This window comes from Homo sapiens, chromosome 11 (assembly GCF_000001405.40).
Source record: "Homo sapiens chromosome 11, GRCh38.p14 Primary Assembly".
Lineage (NCBI taxonomy): Eukaryota > Metazoa > Chordata > Mammalia > Primates > Hominidae > Homo > Homo sapiens.
The window spans coordinates 30,983,261-31,008,236 of record NC_000011.10 but is presented as its reverse complement, the minus strand read 5'-3'; the positions used below and the strand labels follow the sequence as shown (position 1 = coordinate 31,008,236).

The following is a 24,976-nucleotide window of genomic DNA, read 5'->3' as shown; positions in this document are numbered from 1 at the left end:
CTTCCTAAGGTTTTATGTTTTGCCTTCTGCAACTGCCACTTCCTAATCCACATAATCCCCCCTCCCTATCCCCTGAAAGTTTCTTTGTACTTCTTTCTCTCTAGTGAATTATTTCATGACCTGAAGATGTTGCTTTGCTTTTAACCATTGCAAAGGAGATGCGTTCATCCCTCTTAGGAGAGGAGATGAAGTTAGTGCCCTCTGCACTTCCGGTTTTCTCTGCTACTTCCAGATCATGACTCCTCTACTGTCATATTAAAAGCCTACTAGAGGTAGCTGGGCACGGTGGCTCACACCTGTAATCCCAACATTTTGGGAGGCTGAGGCAGGCAGATCACTTGAGGTCAGGGGTTCAAGACCAGCCTGGGCAACATGTTGAAACCCTGTCTCTACTAAAAATACAAAAATTAGCTGGGTGTGGTGGCAGACGCCTGTAATCCCAGCTATTCAGAGGGTGAGGCACGAGAATCACTTGAACCCAGGAGGCGGAGGTTGCAGTGAGCCGAGATCACACCACTACACTCCAGCCTGGGAGACACAGTGAGACTCCGTCTCAAAAAAAAAGAAAAAAAAAGCCTATTTTCTCCTAAACAGAAGTTCTTCCATGATCCCAAGTGACTTGAAGGAGCACACAAATGACCCATTCAGCCCCAAGCCTCTCAGTGACATTTTCTCCTCTTTAGTGACATCCTAACCTCTTATCTGCCAGACACTCCTACAACCATACTGTTCTGCCTCTGAAATTGTAGACTCAAGTATATCAGCGTTGGAGTGTTTCACCACCCTTCATCCTGTTAGGACTGACGGACCAGTTACTACACAGGGAAATGTTAGGAATCCTCACTCATCATGCTTCAATGGTCTCATTTCAAGGCAATCTTACTTCCAAGTGTGCTTTACCTTAGAATGAAGTTCCTTGTTGTTGGGTTCTAGATGTCACTATCTGAGGTCCTGCTTCATCTCACAGTCTCAATGAGTGAAACACTGTGTTTTCTCTAATTTCCTAGAAACTCCTTTTCTTGTCCCATATCTCAATTCCTTAATAATGTGGCTTTTTTATTCTTCCTATGCACACGGTACATGTATTTTTAAACAGGATGACTACAACCTTTCAAGGAATTATTGAATTTTAGAAATTGTTTAAATATTATGGACTCCAGCCTTACTGAGTTACCCATGAGGAATCTGAGGCCTACATTTGACCATGGCAGGCATGAGAATGAAGAATAATGAACAGAGAGGAGAAATATTTAACAATAAAATGGCCAGACTTAGTTTCTAGATGTGAATACTGGAGAATAGCATTGGTCAAAGGTAAAGCTAAGATTCTAAACCTAAATGACTGGGAGAATTTTATATTTTTTCTTCTACCATAATCAAGTGGTATAAGATAATTTTAAAAGACAATAATCTCAGAGAGCTCTTTATTGGATCATGAAGGTTATTTTATGTGGTTGATTTTTATTTAGAATTATACAGTTTTGAAACTGGAGTTGTATAATTGCATTATTGTTAGTTAGAGCGAATATTTATTGGGTGCTTACTACGCTCCAGACAAAGTATTGTCAATTACATGGATTATCTGATTACATTCTCACTGCCATCTTATGAGATAGATATTATTCTCTTCAATTTAAAGATGAGGAAACTGAGGAATGGAGCGGTTAAGCAACATTTCCAGTTATACACTGCTAGTAAGTGGCAGAGCAGGAAGATGGTTTAAGGTAGTCTGCTTCTAGAGCCTCTTGTTTGTTCAGTAGATTGTTGCAGACCATGAGCTGATACTTGGTGAGAGAACAGTCCTGGGGATAAGGACTCACCAGTCATCAACCCAGAGGAAAGCCAGGAGAAGAATGTGTTCTCTATGGGAATCTATAGGAAGGGAAGACTGAAGGCTTACAACTAACCCTTGGAGGCAATCCACATTTAGGAGGAAAGGGAAGTAGCAAACAAACCAACCAGGAAGTAACCTTTGCAGGACTGTAAAAGGACCCAACTATTGTGTGGTGTCATCAAGCTAATTACAGAGAGAGTTTCAAAAAGAATTGAATGAGAATCTGTATTCATAACTATAGAAACATCAAGGAGAAGAAGAAGAGGACAAAAGCTATTGACTAGACTGATAATGGATATATTAGTGATGCCTGAGAGTATGGGTGGAAAAGTGATTGTAGATGTAGGGTTGAAATGGAAACACTGAAAGGTTTGGCAGTAAAATGGGTTATGTGAAAATAAAGAGTAGTCAATAGGACCAAAAGTTTTTTTTTTTTTTTTTTTTTTTTTTCAGGAATAAGAGCTATATGCCTGTTGGAAGGCAAAGAGGAAAGGGTCGGAGATATTGGTCAAGGAGGAAGCTTCCATGGGTCAAAGTCAAAAATTTAAAAAGAATGGAGGGAAAAGTTAAAGACTATGAGAAGCTAGAAATATATGGAGGTGAAGAAAATGTTTTTGTAGGTATTTATATCAAGGAGCCATGATTTCAGTGAGCTATAAACTGTCATTGGCTGATGGTGAAGGCTGAAGAGACTATCTGTAGGAGAGAAGAAAGTGGTATGGAATCCCATACCAGTTCTCTCATCCCAGGTTTGCAACTTGCATTTTACCCCCTTGATATACTATAGGTTCTTTGAGAGTGGGGTTAGTCTTGTTATTTTATACTTTAATTCATAGCAAAGCATTCTGCATATATAGTAGTGTAGTTTTGTTGAAGTAGGTTGAATTGAAATGAATGGAAATGGCTGAAAGGATTGCTTAGAGCAGCATGAGCTGCACTAAAGTTGGATCCTATGAATATGTGGTGTGACAGGTGGGTAGAGCTCTGTGGTTCACTGCAGCTGTGCCCTGGGCCCCAACAAAGGAATAGAGAAAGCAGAAAGTGATCTAGCAAGCAACATAGAAGATCTGGGCTGCAATGGGATTGTGTTGGGGCTAACCATGTTGTCCAAAAGGTGTGAGGAAACCAGCCATTGTTGTTGGTGGACTAACAATGCGATACAGTTACTGGTGCAGGTTTGTGGAGCACTTACTGGTGATGAGAAAGGAGAACATGTGCAACAGAGAAGATTTCATTGTAGAGGACAACATTGTGTTTCAGTTTGTTGTTAAATTGACCAAAATAGAGGTAACATACGTAAATAACAGAAATAGCAAGTCAACCTTTTGAATTTTTAATTATGTTAGAGAGATATAAAATATCATATCAGTTCACTAATACAATATATATTATAATACTCTTAATTTCTGCGTGGTGGGTTCAGGAAGAACTGAACATTCATCCAATTACATATGTTAATAGTTTCTAGAAAAGTAGCAATCATACATTCAATTCTTACTAAATGTTCTTCTAACACTTAGACATTTTATCTATTTTAAATCACAGAGCAACACAATGAGGTAGATATTATTTTTATCTGATTTTATAGATAGGGAAACTGAACCGAGGCACAGGGAAATTAAGAAACTTGTCCATGGTTACACTGCTGTTGGGAGGTAACACAGGAATTTGAACCCCGTCAGTCTGACCTTAACTGTATTTTTTTTTTTTTTTTTTTTTTTGAGACAGAGTGTCACTCTGTCACCCAGGCTGGAGTGCAGTGGCGCGATCTTGGCTCACTGCAAGCTCCGCCTCCCGGGATATGCCATTCTCCTGCCTCAGCCTCCCGAGTAGCTGGGACTACAGGAGCCTGCCTCCACGCCCAGCTAATTTTTTTTTTTTTTTCGTATGTTTAGTAGAGACGGGGTTTCACCATGTTAGCCAGGATGGTCTCGATCTCCTGACCTCATGATCCTCCCACCTCGGCCTCCCAAAGTGCTGGGATTATAGACGTGCATCTCCTGGCCAGCCATTAAATGCTACATTCCAGTGAATTGTGAGGGACAGCAAGCCAGCTTTTGATTCAGACATTCTGGATTAGTTTCTTGTAATGGAGATAAATTTACTGTCCTATACATTGAACATAAATTGTCCAATAATTGAAAAGTGTTTGTACACTATTTGACAATAAAATACTTTTGGCAAATTTTGGTTCCATTTGTGCATAAAACTAAATGTGTTGTTTTCCTCAATATTTAAAGAGTAGTTCTTATATATCCTCCTCAGAAATAATTTGGGAAAAAACATTTTTATTCAATAGGTAATTGAATATCTCCTTTTGGATCTTCCCAGAAACCCCATCTCAGCATTTCAAAAACTGACCTTATTGTCATTCCTCCAAAAGTTCCTTCTCTCAGTGAACAGCATCACCAGCCACCACTTGCCCAAGCAGAAACCTAGCCGTCATCATTCGTACCATCTCCTCATGTCAACATACCTAATTTGTAGGACACTGTTGGATTCACCCAATTCTTGAAAATTCCTCTTGCCTTCTAATTGATTACGCTTCCTTCAGTCTTAACACATTTCCTACATTGTGCTCTTTCTAAAATCCATCCTGTCCCTCCCTGTTTAATGTTCTTCAGTGGTATCACACTGCTTAACCTGGGCTATAATGGTCCTATGATCCATCCTATTTGTCTTTCCAGATGTTCTTGTTTTCACTCTACACTACACCTCTCTCATTTCCTCTGATATATTATATGTATTCATCCAGGCCTTGCCCATAAAATGCCTTAGACTAGAAATCTTTCCTCCTTATTTTCATTAAATCCTACTTATCCTTAAGATCTTGCTTAGAGGTCAGTCATAGTATCTCCTCCTCCTGGAATGTTTCCCTGACTCCCCAAGTTTATATTAGGTGTTTCTTCTATGATGTGCTTCACATTCCCCATGCTTCTATCTCAGCACTCATCACACTGTGTTTGTTTGTACTTACCATGGCTATCTTTGTGGTACTCAGGTTGAGAACCACAGCAGTAAATTATAGAGGTAGGAAATATGAACAGGAGAAGTATTGCATCTGCTCTTATTTATTAAAATGCTTCCCCCACTCCCTCGGTGGAAATAGCTCCATCACTGTCTGCAACAACAATCATATTAAGCATCTACTAAAGTGCTTCGTGGCAGCTTGTGAATTTATGAACTCTGGAATGATTTTTATTATTCAATTAACTTTACAAAGTGTTATGGGGAAAACAGAGGGAATATATGAAAATCTATGTAATATATGGAAATCTATATATGGAAATCTAGATTATATATATATATATATATTTAAAGATATGTGTGGCCATCCAAATTATGTGAAAAAAGGACTAAACTCAAAAATGATGTTACTGATGAATGAAATTGGTGGTTTATTTCTATAACAGTGTATTAGTTTTAGGTCAAGTTTACTTCATAAAGTTTACAGCTTAATGGCCTTTTGAATGGGATTCTTGTATGTAGCATGTTAATAATTGTGTAAAACTGGGAGATTATTTTACTATTCTACATTGTTACAGAAATTTATAGCACTTATAATTTTTAGGATATAATTTTGGTGACATGTGGTTTATTTGATGAGAGTGTTTGGTCACAAATATGCTCCCCAACTATAATCTAATTTCTGTAAGAAAACAGAATCTCTCTTTCAAAAATCTACAGTGTGACTTTTGATTCACAGGTCTTTAGCAGTATGGGTAAAAATGAAGGTAGTGTGTAAGAAAATTAGAGGAATAACTGAAGGATTACTTACAGCAATAGAAATTATAGCATAATTTGAGAGTCTGTTTCTTGCTGCTTTCCCTAAACTGTTGATTTTCTCTACATAAAGCTTATCCTGAGCTCTGCCCCTTCGAGAATCATCATTGTTAGTCTTCCATCCAACAGTTGGACTCACAGCAGGCGGGTGTATTGGAGGGCTCTTTCTTGACTTCTAAAAACAGCAGTTACGTTAAAACTTACATATTAGTTTAATTTTTGATTTATTGTCCCTGTGATATAATATTTAAGTATCCTCTACAAACTCAGTGGAATATAGAAATGTTAAAAAAGAATATATTAAAATACTTTGGTTATGCTTTGATAGGAATCATTCAAATTCACATTGACATCTAATGAGAAAAGCATTGGCACAATTACTTCTGCATTGGATAAAAACATTATTTCCCTCCCAAATTATACTACCTGAAGATAAATTTTTTACTTTTATATCCATTCTGTGCCTATTAATGTGTAAGTCATAGGTGGCTTCTAAAAGTAACATTCTAGCATGAGTTTACATTTGGGAAACTAATTTTCCAGCTAATTGTTGTTTAGTAAATTTTGGGAAAGTATTTTCTGTTTTCCCCTGTGAAATAAAGATTAGTCATGACTTTAATTTTCTATTTTGACACGTTCACTGAACATAGCATATTTACATTGCAATATTTAGGACACTGGAAATTCATTAGAATCAAGAGGAGTAGTTGCAGCATCCAAATGGATGAACTGTTGCTGATTCTTTAATATCTCCAAAGGGAAACCAAGCTTATAAATCTTGCTAACCACCTTACACTGAGCTGTCACCTTCAATGTACCTTTGATATACTCACTTTCTTTTAAAGGGGAAGATAGGAAACAGAAAGTGTATCATTTCATTCACACAGACTTTGTCTGGAAGTGCGGCTGTGATATGATTTCTGTCAGAAAAGATCTGCTTGATATTCCTCTGTCTTTGCTTGGGAACACAGAGTGGTTTGTCTGTTTTCTAAGCCAGTGTGTAGTATATGCTGCCTTGTCAAACAGCATTTGTCTTCACTCACTACCTGCTTGTTGAGTGGAGCTCAGCCTCGCTGCGGTGGCAGAGAAAGCCTTAAGGCTGCTCAGCATCTGTCTCTTCATGTAATTAACTGCAGCCCTGGATAGGGAGCAAAACAGAGATTTTTGTCCTGTGAAAGAGTAATGTGTCTAGACAGGAGTTTCTAAGCAGGCAAAAGATTTCTTAGTGTTTCTGTTCAAATGGAAGGACATATTATTTTTTTTTTGTCTCAAAATGTTTTGAAGGTAAAGTGACCATTTGCTTTCATGGCAAAATAACTTTGGAAAATCCACTTAATATGGTTTATAAGCCTTTCAAAATGCCTTTACTTGACAATTTTAGCATTGAAAAAATAATGATAATAATGAATTATAGTTCATTGAACAAAATAAGAATCCATGAGTCAATACTGACACAAATAAATGACTGAATAAATAAAAGATGAACAAGAGGAGCTCTTTCTTATGGTGGAATTCCAACTAATGCCAACTAATAGATGTTGAATGAATTAGTTAGAAAAATCATAATTTCACAGCTGTTATGGTAATAATTGACTCAAGCAAGAACCATCAATGGATGTTAATACTAACTGATGAAAATTTGCTAAGGATCAGCATATATACAGTCTCAAGTTATCTCTTTACAAATTTGTATATACATGTATATATAATTATATGTGATTGAATCTGGGTGAAGGGTATATGGGACTTTTTTTTCTTTTTCTAACTTTTCTGAAAGTTTGAAATTATATCAAAAATAAATAAGTAGCAAAAAAGTAAAATTTACATACTCTTGGTTTTCTTCCTAAGTAATTGGAACATGGCTCAGTCCTGGACATGCTTTTTTTTTTAAACATAGTATTAGAAAAAAAACAATGCATTATGCTACCCAGAAGCTTGACTCACCAGCTGCCAACAAAGCTTCATTAATGTAGCATGTTCTGCAATCAAAACCCTCTCTCTTGGGAAGAGTGACATCCTGAATATTTGCCTTTCACAGAGACTCACTTAGAGACTTGCAATCCATAAGGATTTCTAAGTGGAATGTGAGTATCTGCATGTGTAGCTCCCTGACACATTTTATAGTACCCTTTAACTTTACAGAAAAGGGCTCTGAAATTTAGAAAATGAAGGCTTGCAATTCTTTCTATGTCATTCTTAATAAGCTTGCTTTCAAGAAGTAGAAGGCAAAGAATCCTCCTCCTCTAAGACCGTATTGTGGAGTCATAGCAGCCCTGATAATTGCTTAAATGAGAAGAGGAGACTAAATATTATAATAAAGATTGCAAACAGTGTTGAAGACAATTATACTGAATTCTTTCCTGGATATTTTTGGTATTCATTTGATATAGGGCATTGTGACGCTTGAATGAATGGATTTATAATTTAACCTAAAAGTTAGAATTAAGCAATTCAATGTTTGTCTGAAGGAAGATTCATTACTCTTAACCAGATGATTTTTTAGATGCCCTAATATGCTTCTTCCTGCAGTAATCCCTTGGTGTTTCCCTTGCAACTGACAATGGACCCGACTGCTCCTCCACAGCCAGCACAGATGGTTCCTCTTACCTGAAGCCACTGGCTTTGACCGACCTTTTCTTTCTGGTTGGTGACTAAAGGAGATAGTTGACTTCATTCTTAAAGGGGAGAACGAGTCAAGTCACAAGTCTCAGTTCTCTTTGCAATTTGATCTCCCTTACCAATGCTGTGAGATGGTCTCCAGTGTGCTCCTAAGATTGCCAACAAATATTTTATTTTATTTGACGTTTGTATTTTTGGTATATATTTTACATTAAAAATATTTTGAGGTTTATATTTTCTTAAAAATATAAGCTCTCCCCTTTCTCACTCCCCCCACCCTTTTTAAGATGGAAGTGATGTGTAAGAGTCGCATTGTCCAAACTCCTTATTTTGATGATTAGAAAACTGAATCCAAAGAATCCCTAAGTTCCTGGGGATCATGCTTTTTGGTGAAGCTGGAATTTGGACCAAAGGTTTCAGATTTCCAGGCTGGCATTACGTTCACATGTTGCCACTTTTATAATAGTCAAGAATCTTAAATTTATTGAAAATTCTTGGAAAACAAAAGCATAATAATTTTTAAGTAGAATACATAAGGAAATTAGATTCGACATAAGGCTTTTACTATTTTTTCATTTTGAAATAATTTTTGATTTACAGAAGAATTGTAAAGGTAGTATAGAGAGTTCCTACAGCTCTTTCACTCAATTTCCTCTAAAGCTAACATCTTACATAACCAACATCTTACATAACCATGATACATTTATCAGAACTAATAAATCAGAGTTGGTACAATAGTATTAACCAAACTAAAGACTTATAAGGTTTCATCAGTTTTTCCACTGATGTTACCTTTTCTTTTCCCAGGTTTAATCCAGGATACCACACTGCCTTCAGTAGTTGTGTCTCGTTAGTCTCCTCTAATCTATGACAGTTTCCCAAAATGTCCTCATTTTTCATAGCCTTGACCCTTCTGAATAGTGGCCAGATATTTTTTAGAATGTTCCTGAATTGGGATTTGGAAAGAATTTATAAAATTAGACTGAAATTATTGATTTTGGAGGAAAATACCACAGAAGTAATATTCTCTTTTTATTGCATTATATCAGGGGGTGCATGATATCAATATTACATATTCCTGGTGATGTTAACCTTGATCACTTGGTTAAGATGGTGTCTGCCAGATTTCTCCACTGTCAAGTAACTGTTTTTTCCTTCTGTACTCTATTTGCTAGAAGCAAATAGTTCAGCCCACACTCAGGGAGGGAGGAATTAAGCTCTTACCTCCTAGAGGGAGGACCATTAAAAAATTTGTGGACATAGTTTGGACATCACAATAATTAATAAATATTTGAGGGGAGATACCATAAGTTTGAGCAAATATCCAATTTCTCCCAAAAGTTCTGCCCACTAATTTAGCATTCATTAATGCGTTTTGTCTGTAGCATTTATAGCTATGATGTTCTAATGGTGATTTGTTATTTCTGTCATTTTTAAAACATTTACTAATTGGAATTCTTTTGCAAGGAAAATATATCCATTCTTTCATTCTTCCTCATTTACTTATTTATTAAACTTATTGTTTATATGGACTGATGGATATTTACTTTATTCTTTGGGTGACAATTTAATACTATCATTATTTATTTTTGCTCAGATTGTTTCAGCATTAGCCATTGGAAACTTCTTCATGTTGGTTCCTGCTGTGTCTTTTCAACAGGCACCATACTTCCTCCCCCCTCCCCACTTTTTAATTTTTATTTTATTTTGAGTCCAGGTTTCATTCTATTGCCCAGGCTGGAGTGCAGTGGCACAATCATGGCTCACTGCAGCTTTGAATTCCTGGGCTCAAGTGATTCTCCCATCTCAGCCCCCTGAGTAGCTAGGACTACAGTTGCATGCAACACTGGACTAATTTTTTTATTTTTTGTAGAGGTGGGGGTCTCACTATGTTGCCCAGACTGGTCTCGACCTCCTGGGGTCAAGCAATCCTCCTGCCTCGACCTTCCAAAGTGCTGGCATTACAGACATGAGCCACTGTGCCTGCCCCCACCCCCTTTCTTTTTAAACTCTCTCTTACTTTGTGACACTACAACACAATCAAAGTTCATCTTGTGGTTCCTTGCTGCAATATAGAATCAGCTATTTTGTTCAGAAGTCTTAATCTCCTTATTGGAGATGGGGAGAAGGCTATTTAGAAACCAAGGTCTGGATGCTAGTGTGTGTACACACACACACACACACACACATACACACTATGGTATGGTAAAATAAACATGAGTTTATTCTGATATGTTTGATTGTAATCCAGCACCATGGGTTCATTCTAACATTCCTGTCTTGGTTATTGGTAAGGTCATTTGTAACTTTTTTCTCTGATAGCGAGAAGCCAGGCTCCTATCATCTGTATCCCTTTTTTGTTCAATTTTAGTATAAATATAAAAAAGAGTGTCAGAATAACCAAACTGTACTACTAGGAGAAACAAATTTAACAGCTGGCATACAATACTTATATACAATTCTTTTTGTCTTTGTCTTTTTATCTAGGTATGGCCTTTCAATATCTAGACAAAATACTTGTTTTCCAGTTACTAGATTAGCGCTTTTCTTCCTTACCCCTTCAGTGAGGTTATGTTGTATATTTATTGTACACTTAGATTGATTTGTCAAAAGCTGTATTTCATTTTGATTCCCCCAAATCCTGATTTTGTTTTGTTTTGTTTTACTTTGCAGACAGTAAAAGCCACTCTTCAGCATACAGTTCTATGAGTTTTGACAAATGCATAGTCATGTATTTACCACTCCAGTATCATAAAGAACAGTTTGATTACCCTGAAATATTTCCTTGCATGTTGCCTTTGTAATCAATCTCTATCCTCTACCCCTGTCTCTGGCAACTACTTATCACTTTCTGTCCCTACAGCTTTTCCTTTTACATAATGTCATTCAAAATGGAATCATAAAATACATAGCCTTTTAGGCCTGGCTTTTTTTCTCAAATAGCTAATGCATTTAAGATTCATGTATATTGCTGTGTGCAACAGCTCATTCCTTTATATTGTTAAATAGCATTCCACTATATGGATATATCAAAATTTATGTGTTCAACTGTTGAAAGGCATCTTAGTTGTTTTCAATATTTGGTGATGATGAACGCTGCTATACATGTTCATGTACGTTTTTATGCGAACAAAATTTTCTGTTCATGTGAGAAAATACCTAGCAGTGTGATTGCTGGACCATGTGTGTCTTAGTTCATTTTGTGAAGCTCTAACAAAATACCTGAGACTGAGTAATTCTTAAAGAACAGAAATTTATTTTCTCACAGCTTCAGAGGCAGGGAAGTCCAAGATCAAGGCACCAGCATGTTTGGTTGTCAAGTGAAGGCTGCTCTTTTCTTCCAAGACTGTGCCTTGGTGCTGCATCCCACATAGGGAAGGAATGTTGTGTCCCCGCAAGGCAGAATACAGAAAGGGCAAAAGGGATGAACTCCCTTTGTCACGCCCTTTTATAAGAGCATCTAATTCCATTCATGAGTGCAGAGCATTCATAACTGCATCACCTACCAAAGGTCACACTTCCCAATACTCTTGCACTGGGGATTAAGTCTCAATATGATTTTTGAAGGGCCAAAAACATCCAAACCATAGCATATTGTGTGTGTTTGACTTTATAAATATGTACCAAGCTGTTTCTGATGTGGCTGTACCATTTTATATTCTCATCAAAAATGAATGAAAGCTCCTGTTGCTCTGCATCCTCTATAGCCCTTGGTATCAGCAGGGTTTGGGGTTTGTTTTTGTTTCATTTTGCTTTCTCTTTGCCATTCTAATAGATGTGTGGTGATCGTTCATTATGGTTTTAATTTTCAATTTACTAATGACTAATGATGTTATACCTCTTTTCCTGTGCTTTGTGCCATCTGTCTATCTTCTTTCGGTGATGGGTCTGTTCAGATCATTTGCCCTTTTTAAAATTGGGTTGTTTCTTATTGCTGAATTTTAGAGTTCATTATACATAGTGGAGACAAGTCATTTATCAGATACATGATTTACAAATATTTTTTCCTAGTCTGTGTCTTCTCTTTCATTTTCTTAAGTGCTTACACAGAGCAAACGTTTTTAATTTTGATAACGTCTAATTTAAATTTTGTTTCTTTATGGATGATCGTGCTGATTGTGCCTTTGGGGATGTATCTAAAATCTCATGGCCAAACTCCTATTATTTTCTAGATGTTTTAAGAGTTTTATATTTTGCCATTAAGTCTGTGATCCATTTTGGTTTACTTTTTTTGTATAAGGTATGAGGTATTTATCAAGGTTCTTTTTGGTTTTTGTCTTATTTTTTGTTTTGCTTCATAGAGACATCCACTTGGTTCAGCACTATTTGCTGAAAGACAATTCTTTCTCAATTAGTTGCTTTTCTACCTATGTCAAAAGTCAGTTGACTATGTTTCTGTGGGCCTATTTCTGGGCTCTCTCTTTTGCTCCATTGATTTTTATTTCTATCCTTGCACTAATACCACACTACGTTGATCATGTAACTCCATAGCAAGACCTGGAATTGGGTAGTGTGAGTCTTCTACCATTGTTCTTTTTCAGAATTACTTGGCAATTCTAATTGCTTTTGACCCTCCATATAACTTTTAGAACCAGCTTGTCGAAATCTACAAAAGAGTTTGCTGGGATTTTTATTGGAATTACATTGAATCTATAGATCAAATTGGAAATAATTGTCATTAATATCTTAATGATATTAAGTTTTCCAGTTCATGAATATGGTGTATTTATTTATTTAGATCTTTGATTTTTAAATCAGTGTTTGTAGTTTTTACCACGTAGATACTGCACACATTTTAAAAAGACTTATACCTAAGTGCTTTATCTTAATATTTTGTGTAAATGTAAATGTGATGTTTTGAGATTTAGTTTCAAATTTTATTTCTTTCATTGCGGGTATATAGAAATACATTGATCTTGTAGCTCACAACCTTGTTAAACCTTCTTACTAACTCTAGGATTTTTATTGCACTTTTTTTTAAAGATAATCATATTGTCTGTGAATCAGGACTCTTATATTTCTTTCTTCCCAGCCTGTATGCCTTTCATTTCTTCTTTTTATTCCTCCCCTTAGTGTATTGCCAAGGATTTCTGGGACCATGATTAATAGCAGTAGTAAGAAATGAAATCTTTGTCTTACTCTTGATTTTAGGGGGAAACATTCAGTCTCTCACCATTGAGTATGATGTCAGCTGTAGGGTATACATATATATTTATTATAATAAATATTATAATAAACAAATATATTATATATTTATTAAATAAATATATAATATATTATAACATATACTATATGTTATATATTATAACAATAATATGTTATATATTATATATTATATAATAATATGTTATATATTATAATAAATATATAAATAATTTATATATATAGATAAATTACAGGTGTGAGCCACCCCACCTAGACGTTTTTACCCTTACAAAGGGCATATATACATATACATATATATATATATAACTTGAGGTCAGGAGATCAAGACCAGCCTGGGCAACATGGTGAAACTCCATCTCTGCTAAAAATACAAAAGTTAGCCTGGCATGGTCGTGGGTACCTGTAGTTTCAACTACTTGGGAGGCTGAGGCATGAGAAATACTTGAACCTGGGAGGCAGAGGTTGCAGTGAGTGGAGATTGTGCCACTGCACTGGGTTACTGAGTGAGTCTCCGGAAAGAAAAAAATGGGTAAAAAAGTTTCATTCTATTCCTGGTTTGCTGTAAATTTTTATTACGAATGCATTTAGAATTTTGTTGGATAATTTTTCTGCATCTATTGAGATCATTACATGATTTTCCTATTTAGTCTATGGTAAGTATGGTATGTTACATTAATTGATTTTCAAATATTGAACAATCTTGCATTGTTATAATGAATCTCACTTGGTCGTATGATGTTTCATTCCTTTTTTATATTGCTGGATCTAATTTGGTAATATTTTGCTGAAGCTTTTTGTATCTATGTCCATGAGGAATATTGATCTGTAGTTTTCTATTCTTGATAGAGCTTTAGCTGGGTTTAATATTGGGATAATGCTGGCTCGTAAAATGAGTTGGGAAGTTTTCTCTCCTCTTCTATGTTCTGGTATAAACTATATAGCATTGGTATTATTCTTTATTAACTGTTTGGTAGAACTTGACAATACACTTCTTTGAGCCTGTACTTTTCTGTTCTGGAAAAATTTTGACTACAAATGTAACGTCTTGAATACACCTATTAAAACTACATATTTCTTCTTGGAAAGAGATTTGTAGTTCTTGTCTTTCAAATAGTTGTTATATTTTAATTTGTCATATATATGGGCATAGAGTTGTTGGTAGTATTCACTTATTATACTTTCACTGTGTATGCGATTGATCTAGTGATGTCTTGTTTTTCATTTCTGATATCAGTTATTATTGTCTTGTTTTTCTCTATGTCAGTCTAGCTAGAGGTTTATCAATTTTAGAAATAGTTTTTCATTCATTGATTTTCTCTGTTGTTCATTGGTTTTCAATTTCATTGACCTATGCTCTAACCTTTATTATTTCTTTCTTTTTGCTTGCTTGATGCTTAATTTGCTTCTCTTTCTCTAGTTTCTTAAGGCAGAAGCTTAGATTACAGATTTTACATCTTTATTCTTTAGTAATATAAAATTTAATGCTGTTAATTTCCTTCAAAGTAGTGCTATAACACGGGCAATCTCTGAATTTTGATGTTGTATTTTCACTTTCATTTAGTTAGCTTATAAAAAGCTACATTAACTTAAATTAAAAGTATTTTATTTCAGAATATTTAAAAATTTTGACACTTCCTCTTTGATCCAGGGGTTATTTAGAAGTAAATTACACATAGTATTTTGAAGAAGTAGGATTTAACATAAGTTTTCAACATTTGCTATATGCTAGAAAAGTAATTTTTATATAATTTTTTTTCATGTGGAGTGCCATTTTACTTTTTTAAATTAAGTAAATATTAAAATTTAGGAAAGTTAAGCCTAATTTATGATTGAAAATCAAAATTAACTTGGTTGGTCTCAAATCTCTTATGAAATATGCAAAGTGCATTGAGTTTACCACAAGCTGTACAATATACTTGTTGGATCGACTTCAGTACCCACCTTCTTCATAGAATATAACACACAAAAACAAATTTCCTCTACTTTTATTTTAGATTTTTTAATATCAAGACTAATATTGACAGTCAGGAAGTAGTAACTTTTCCTGAAATACTACACATTGTCTTACAAATAGCTTATACCAGATGTCTAGACTTTGGACTTTGTTTCTTCAGTTTACATAGTGGTTGAAAATTTAACTATTCCTTTAGCTTTGTGTCTCTCAGTACCATCATGGCCTCTCCATGTATCTTTACAGTATACCTTCTGAGACCTGCTGAGGATATGACTCAGCAAATCACCATGGTGATGGGAGAAAGCCAGGTTGTGGGGGCACCAGCTATAACGGGGTAATACTTGGAAGGCAATTTCTTTCTGAGAACTTGCTGCAGCCTAGCTTGGAGTCCTGGCCTGGAAAGCTTGAATATGAAAAGTCAGGTTGGTATCTATCTTTGGCAGGACTGCCTCACTGGGTCTGGGTTTAAATAACTCCTTGGAAGTCAGATCTTTCATTCAGCCGCAGGGAGCTTACCCTGTTAAGTAGCCTGTCTTGGTTTGTCAGTCATTATTTGTTCACTGCAAGGGGTTAACCCTCAGCTACATGGTCACCATTTCAGGATCTTGTTATTTGGAAAGTAGGATTCAGACCTGTAGTTTAACATGTTGATACATTTCTGTTAAGAGAAAAATACAGCATTTCTTTTAAAATGACTTGTTAGCAATTTATAGTTAACATACACTCAAATGAGACCTTATGGGAAGAAGTATGATTTTATTTATGTTTTTCTTAAGGTACCTTAAGACAGTGCATTTTACATTGTACTTTATTTGTGTAACATTTGCTCTTAGAAAGACAGGGAGCGTACCATTTTCATTTTTGGTTTCTCAACAACACAGAAGTGCATGGCACATACTAGGCCTCAAGCACTGCTTGTTGAATGAATATTACATATGTGGGTGAAGTATATGATATTCTTTCTCCTTGTTTTACTTTGATCCTTCATTTTCAGTACATTTAAATTCTTTTCCCAAAAATATTATGAAAGCTGTTTTCTCTTTGTCTTATATGTTCCCAGTGTTTATCTGAAGGAATGCAATTTGCTACCCATGTTACTTAAAAAAATTTACTTGTATGTTTATTGGTAAAATCTTTCATAAATAAACTTATTTTGGTGTTATGCCTACTGAATAATTCCAGAAGTATATATATTTTTTCAAGCTGGAGAAGACAAGAGAAATTAGGGAAGAGACAGCAGAGATCAAATGTGCAGGCTTGTACACCTGGTGTAGTTACGTTTAGAGTAACCACAGAACCTAGTGACGTCGGTGGTGCATGGCATGCCCTAAATAAACATCTAGTTTAAAGTTTCCCAATTTGAGCTGTCCGATCCAGTTGCCACTGAGTTTTCTTTTATGTTACTTAAGAGCCTTACTAATTTTCAGCACCAATACAATTCAGTTTTTAGAATTAGGCAATTAGAATCATGGCATTTTGCTGATTGGGAATACCCAACTAAGCCTGGTGACCTTGCATGGGACCCCTTTGTCTCTGTCTTTTTATTTATTATTATGGTATATGGTTAAGGTGTACACTCTGATGTTTTGATAAATGTATACCTAGTATTACAGTCTATTTCTGGAGTCACACTCACTCCCAGCTATGCTGCCTCTCTCCTCCTTAAGGCAGGCTCTCATAGCCTTCTCTCCTGTCTGCTCTTGAGGTCTTGGGTTCTCATTACAGCTGAACACCTGCTGTTTCAAGCCAGCCTCCTCATGGTTACCAGGGATGTCCCTTAGCCCTCCCTTGGCAAACCCGTTTGTCAGTTGCCTCACTCTCTGGCAGCACCTATTTTTATGCCAGCAATATTACAGCTTTCTCACATCAGCTTTTCCTCGTAACTCTCACTTAAATGTGACTGTATGATACCAGGAAGCTTCCCACCCCAAAATTATTTTGGAATTGCATAATTTCAAGGCTACTGGCCTGGAAAATGTCACAAGAATGGGAAGTTCTCACCCATGTTACTTACTGGAACATAAATGTGCTTCACTGCACTTGCGTGATTAGCGTCAGTGAAACTGTCTATTCATGTCACGTCTTTACTAAATAACTTTAACTACAATTCCACTGTGTAAATAGCCTAGTACAGTTAATCAGAAAAAAACAAACATAGAATTGTATTATAAAACACACGTGCTTTGTTATTAGTGTAAACTAAATGTCTTCAGACCTTACTACCCGAGGTAAAAATAAGGTCACCTAACAAATAGCTGCATTTCCTAATTGCTTCATCTGCACAGCTGCAGCACCTTCACTCTTGTAGATCACCTTTCCTATGTCTCCCTGGTTATTTCTGAGTGTCTCCAGTGTTTCACATCTTGTCTCTTATATTTTTTGGCTGTGGCTTCCTTGCTGAGAGCCCACGACTCATAAAGAAAGTTCTTACCTGTCCTGTGGGTGCCTCCATAACAACATGGGTTTGCTGCTCCTAGGAGCATCTTCCGGTGCATCCCTAACACTACAAATGTCTCAAGATGCAATAAGGTGTCGTGCTTTGTTCAGTCCCCACAGTGATGATTCTGGGTTATGCTCCTGGGAGAGCATATCTTCAAATGAGATCTTACAGGAATAAGAAGAATGTTTTTGTATCTCTCTTAAGGTACCAAATGCATTTTACCTTGCATGCACAAACTCAACTGCATATATATATATATGTTCCACTGTAGTTGACACCCCAACTCTGTGCTGCTTTTGTCACTTAGATTCTGAGGCAGCTCTGATTGTGCCTTTTGTTTTCACAATGTCTCTTGAAAAAGCGTCTTCTTCCCATCTTAGGGTTTCTTTCTTGGCAGGTTTTGGGGCTGACTCGAGTAGAGATACACCATCCTTCACCTTTCCAGTCTAAGTGTTTTGGGCTCACGTATGCACACACACCTGCACACATGACCAGTCACCGCTCACCTCTCCAAATTAAGACACGAGTCTTCCCTGGATTGTCTCTTCCTGTCATTCACAGCAACTTTTGGTAGCCTGAGAGGTTTCTAGTTCAACTTTTTACAAGAACAACCACAAATTGGTTTTATTTTTGGCATCCCACAGCATTCATCTTTTAAAAAATGGCTTCCTAGGTAAAGGTATGAGAAATATCTTGAATGCACAATATTATATATTATTTAAAGAGGATGCTTTCTCCGACTCTATAAATACATTATTGAATGGATTTGAGCAGAAATAATTCACTCTGCCTGGTAGTGCTCCATCTTAGAAAGCACAAATATGCTGGTTTCTAATGTGTAAAGCACAGAAGAGAGAAAAAGCCTAGTTAAATGTACTTTAAATGTCTGTATTTTGATGCAATATGGTTGCATTTCTGTGTGTTAGAGAGTGAGGATAAAGAGGACTACAGATTCTCAGATTTGTTTTTATTTTTCCAAATTCCCAAGGACCATGATAGGGCTCTCAGATTCAACCTGGGAGTCAGTAGAGCAGTCTGTGTTTGTTTGGATTGTCTTGTTCTTCAGGAATATAAATGATCTTGATTTTGGAACATGGTTTCACTCACATTAAATGAAATATTGAAAAATATCTTCTCCCTCTGTACTATGTAAACAGGCTTTACAAAAGTCGTTTCTCTGTTCTGATATTATTTGATCTTACAAAGCATTCCCCTCATTTAACTACTTCCTACTTGTGAAACACTTTCTTCTCTTGATTTCTCTCCATCACTGAACACTCCTTTTCAATCTCTTTTACTGCCCCCCCTCTTATTTTGTCCTAACTCTAAATGTCACGTATGCCAGGGCTGTGTTCTCTGACTTCTATATTACCTCTCCACTTCCTGGATGATCTCATCTACTCCCATGAATTGGAATGCCATAGAAATATCAGTGATTCCCAAATCTGTAGCTCCAGTTTCAACCTCTGCAGATTCATAGATCCATTTTCATGCCAGCCACTTTCATCTGGAGGTGTTACTGGAATTTCTAACCATATGAAGCCATATGAAGCTCATTTGAAGTATTTGGGGCCAGAGGAACAGCTGGTGGAAAGGCTCTAGATCAAGCTTGTCCAACCCATGGCCCATGGGCCACATGTAGCCTACGATGCCTTTGAATGTGACCCAACACAAATTTGTAAACTTTCTTAAAACATTATAAGATTTTTTTGCGTTTTTTTTCTCATCAGTTATCAGCTATCATTAGTGTTAGTGTATTTTATGTGTGGCTCAAGACAATTCTTCTTCCTCCAATGCAGCCCAGGGGAGCCAAAAAATTGGATGCCCCTGCTGTAGATAGAGAAAGGCTTAGTATGTTCTAGAAGCAGAAAGAAAGCTGGGAGGCTGGAGAAGAGTGGGGTGAGGGAAGCAGTTAGATACAGATTAGGAGATTAGGTCACAGAGGTGACCAAATAGAGTGCTTATTTTCCTTTCCCAAACTTACTCCTTACTCCAGTTATCATCATCATCATCCCATTTTTTTTCAAGCTGAATAGCTGGGAATTTTCCCTCTTTTCTTTTTCCTTCACTAGCCCCATCCCAATACCTATTCTATCCCCAAGTTCAATGGATGAATCTGTTCATTTATTTCCATGCCTACATCTTGAGTTTGTCCATTTATTTTGATTTTCACTAAACTGTACTCTCAGGCACCATCATCCATTCTACAGCATTTGGTTCCTAACTGCTCTTTCTGCTTCTACTTTTGCTCTCTACTATTTATTCTCCATCTAGCAGCCAGAGTCATTATTTTTAAATGAAAACCAGATAATTTCACTCTCCTGCTTAGTACTCTTCATTATGTTTAGAATAGAATCTGAACTTCTTATCTTGGCTTGCAAAACACTCCACAGTCTGGCTTCTGCCCACCTCTGTGACCTAATCTCCTGTATCTAACTGCTTCCCTCACCCCACACTGCTCCAGCCTCCCAGCTTTCTTTCTGCTTCTAGAACATACTAAGCCTTTCTCTATCTACAGCAGGGGCATCCAATTTTTTGGCTTCCCTGGGCTGCACTGGAGGAAGAAGAATTGTCTTGAGCCACACATAAAATACACTAACACTAATGATAGCTGATAGCTGATGAGAAAAAAAAATGCAAAAAAACTTATAATGTTTTAAGAAAGTTTACAAATTTGTGTTGGGTCACATTCAAAGGCATCCTAGGCTACATGTGGCCAATGGGCCATGGGTTGGACAAGCTTGATCTAGAGCCTTTCCACCAGCTGTTCCTCTGGCCCCAAATACTTAAAATGAGCTTCATATGGCTCATTTTTTCTTGTCATTCAAATCTCAGCTTAAATATAGCCCTATAAGAGAGGTTTTTCCTGATGACTCCATAAAAATTAGCCATACAGTCCATCTCTATCATGTTGACTTATTTTAACTCTGGATGATGCTATTTTGAGATATTCTTTATTTGTTTATTAATTATAAGCTCCATGATAACAGTAAAAATGTTTGTCTTGTTCATGTCTGTATCCCAAGTGCCCAGAACAGTTTCTGGCATTGTAGATAATTAAGAAATGTTTATCAAATGGCTCAGTTTCATTTGTGGTTTTCTCTCCCTTAAAAACAAAGAAATAGCCTGGGTGCGGTGGCTCACGTCTGTAATCCCAGCACTTTGGGAGGCTGAGGCAGGCAGATCACTTGAGGTCAGGAGTACGAGACCAGCCTGGCCAACATAGGGAAATCCTGCCTCTACTAAAAATACAAAAATTAGCTGGGTGTGATGATGCATGCCTGTAGTCCCAGCTACTTGGGAGGCTGAGGCAGGAGAATCGCCTGAACCCAGGAGGTGGAGGTTGCAGTGAGCCTAGATTATGCTACGGCACTCCAGCCTGGGCAACAGATTGAGATTCCATCTCAAACAAACAAAAACAAATAAACAAGCAAACAAACAAAAACTAATGGCATTCTACTTTTTCGGTTTCTTTTTGTATTTTTCTTAGGGACAGTAGGAGTTATTTTCACTAGGTCACTTCAGAAAGAATACCATTCTCTTTGATGGTATTGTTTAGTGCAATGAGTTCACGTCATGAGCAGAACTGTTTACTCTATTATATTTGGAATTTCCTACATTTGTTACTCTACGTACTTAAATTGTAAGCTTTTTATCTGTTTCTGGAAAAGAAACTACTGATTGTCTACAAATTTTCATTCTTTCTTTCTTTTTAATTATTAAGGGTGGAAACAGGTTAGCCAAAATACTTAACACCCCAGTCTCCAGTACAGATATAATTTGGCTTTAATATAAAAAGTAGAAGTCATTGGCTGGGTGTGGTGGCTCACACCTGTAATCCCAGCACTTTGGGAGGCCGAGGTGGGTGGATCACAAGGTCACGAGATGGAGACCATCCTGACCAACATGGTGAAACCCCGTCTCTACTAAAAATACAAAAATTAGCTGGGCATGGTGGTGTGTGCCTGTAGTCCCAGCTAATTGGGAGGCTGAGGCAGGAGAATCACTTGAACCCAGGAGGCGGAGCTTACAGTGAGCCAGGGTCATGCCACTGCACTCCAGCCTGGCGACAGAGCGAGACTCCATCTCAAAAAAAAAAAAAAAGAGAGAGAGAAAAATGTGGAAGTCATTATGTAAAATCCTTGGGTAAACTACTTGAAAGGTACTGAACAAAGTATTAGGCAGGAAATCTTTTACTATTGCCTTTTTTTTTTCTTGCTGTCTGGGGAGTGAACATGATGGCTGGAGCTGCAGCAATTATTTGTGACCATGAAGCAACCACAGGGAAGGAAAAGATGTAAGAATAGTAGAGAAAGAAGAAGACATGCTTTGGGTTTCTGATGACTAAATAAATGTCATAACAATCTTGGGCTGCCAATCTCTGGATTTATACACTACAGAAAAACATACCTCTATCATGTTTAATCCACCATCATGTGAGTTTTCTGCTAGACGCTGCTGAGCCTAATACTAATTTCTGTCCCCCTCAAAAAAATGGCACTTTTTTGAATGTTAGGAATATCAGGATGTCAATTTTAATATATTGTTTCATAAAGTGTCTTACTATTCATTAAAAAAATTTGTCATAATTTAGTTTTGGAATTTATTTCCATAAATGTTGATTGCCATGTTCTCATGGTCCTCTCTTGATAGAAGCACTGTGGCTTGGGGGAAGGATGTGGACTTTGGAATCAGATGATCATGTGTTTGAAACTAAGCCTCTTCACCTGTGGCAAATTCCTTGATTATCTGGGCCCCACCTTCCTCAGTGCAACTCATATAGTTTATTATCTCATTTACTTTTAATATTTCATATACTTTTAGTAAGGGTAAAGTGAGGTGATAAAAATAGTCTATCTTCTGTTTGCTGTCATATTTTTACTCAGATGTCTACATGTTTTAAAATGTCATTGTACTATACATTTAAGATTTGCACATTTTACTTTATGTGAATTATATCTTAATTTTTAAAAACTTATAAATAGGCATACCATAAACATAAAAAAAGAAACCCACATACTTCAACATACTGCAGTGTTTTAACATGATTATCATTAGTTCTATAATAAAAAGAGAGATAATCATTCTGTTTGATGGATTGAAATTTACAGGCATTTTAATTTTAAAGTTCAGAAACTGAAATGATTGCATTCTCCTGGACCTGCTCACACATGATAGTCAAATCATGCTGAAGCTTTCTTTTTTCATTTCTGACTCCCCTTCTAAAGCTCCTTACCTTAAAATCTTTTAAGATTCACAATTATTGCCAAGAAGTGTTGTGATTTTGTTTCCTGTACTGAAGACTTGAAGTGTGGGAAACAGAATCGAAAAGTTGTGCTTTTTATTTAAATTAAGGAGTCAGTGTCTCCTTTCTTGGGATGATTCACAAGGAAAGAATTGTTCAGAAATGAAGGAATCATCTGATCTCTGTGGAAAAGATTGTGGCCAAGGTTAGATGTGGGGACTTTGAGACCCTGGGAACTCACCAACCGCCCTGGACTCCCATCCTTTTAGGAAAAACTGTATTTCTTGCCTTAGTTAGTGAGGTGCCATTCCCAGTTTTCTCCTTCTCCAGTCTCTTCTCCCGTTGTTTCCAAATGTATCAGCACATGTGGAAGCGGTTCCCCCTGTCATTTGGGAGGTGCCAATTTACTTCTATGAGAGACAGGCTGGTTTTTACATTACACTGGCAACTATCCTGGACTTTCAAAAAACAGCTCTGTGCTTACCAGCTGACCTGCTTTCAACTAAACAGCTGCTTCTTAAAGTCACGGGTAGAGTTTGCAAATCCTTGGGGATTGAACGTCACGTTACGCCCACCTTTGTTTGAGGATATGAAATGTCCAGGTTATGAACAATAGGAATTGCTTCTGATACAATCACAGCAGATGACCTTCTGTGCTGGCTGGTCTAACTGACTCACCCTGAGATCAGATTAGACAGACCTTGTGTGTTGTGTCAAGAATTGTGTGAATCTGGTTATTCTCCTATTTCTCATCAGTTGCTTACCAAACTAAAATCAGTGAATTTTTGTGAGAGAAAAACCTGTTTTTCCAAGGTTGTTTTTGAAGTGAGGCAGTGAGAATACAGACAAGATTTCTTGTGTGTGAAATATAGTGCTGAGTGGCATATTTGTTGGTGAGGGAGAGAGGAGGCCCAGTGACACAGTTCTGTATACACACGTGCCCAAACACACACCTGCGCTCGCACACACACAGCCATCTCACATGGAGTAACTATGGATTGAGATATCTTTATTTCTGTCTTCGTGAAATAAACTCTAAAAACCATGGAATAAACTCCATTTATTTTTGCTCCTTTTACCTCTTCACCTGTATGATGCACAGTAATTTTGCTCCCCAGGACAGCTTTTAAGATTCTAATCTTGTTCCTGTCCAGCACTTTTCTCACAGCAGTAAGGAAAGGACTGGCATTCCTCCACTATTGTATATAAAGGAGAACCCAGTCTTGGGAATAAGAGCATTGTTTATGTTGAAATTCCCTTAGCTTAGCTGAACCTTCGATTATATCGCCCATTTAGATAACCAGATTTTTACCCCCTGTGGTCTGTTTCCATTCTCAGAGAATTGTCAACAATTTATTTCTGCTCTGGTGATTATTTTCATGAGTGAGGGAGAGAGACATCTGGGAAGATTTTGATAACTGAGTAATGTACACAAAACTCTAAGCACGTTTTTTAAAGATATAATGTGAAAAAATATAGCTTTCCTTGAAAATAGCAAATTGAACTTAGTCACTGCTGAGGTGGCATTTGTAAGCTATGACAATTTTTTAAAAATATAAATTGCATTGTTAACTTGATTTCAGATATCATGGAAAACACTTTTATTTGTATTTCATAAATCTGAATAATGATATTTGAAAAAATCCAATATGATTTATGTAATTTTAATGGATCGCAAATGTGAACCAGATAATTCTATTATTTTTGTAAAAGTTATATGAATTTAGAATTAGACTGCATGGGCTTAAAAGTGCTATGTCAATTTTATGCAACATAATTCTGACAATATAAACCCCTAACCACAAAGATTTTTCATTTCGCAATATTGTGTTTCCTCTGTATAATTCCATTTATTAGGCACTTTCATCCAGAAGCAATAAAAAGTAAGCAAAGACATGTAATGGTTGGTGTATTTTGCCCAATGGGAAACACTTC

The 24,976-nt window shown here is 36.6% G+C and overlaps 1 protein-coding gene across 18 annotated transcripts in view; it reads left to right on the top strand.

The window, feature by feature from the left end:
* The window catches only part of DCDC1 (doublecortin domain containing 1), a 506,137-nt gene that overhangs the window by 361,503 nt on the left and 119,658 nt on the right, over positions 1–24,976 (top strand). For 2 of the 18 annotated variants that reach the window (NM_020869.4, NM_001387275.1), the window contains exon 1: positions 15,712–15,778. The exons of the other annotated variants lie outside the window; for them this stretch is intronic. The gene's annotated coding sequence lies outside the window, so the exon portion shown is untranslated. Of the gene's footprint in view, positions 1–15,711; positions 15,779–24,976 lie in introns of those variants that run through there. 18 annotated transcript variants of the gene reach the window in all.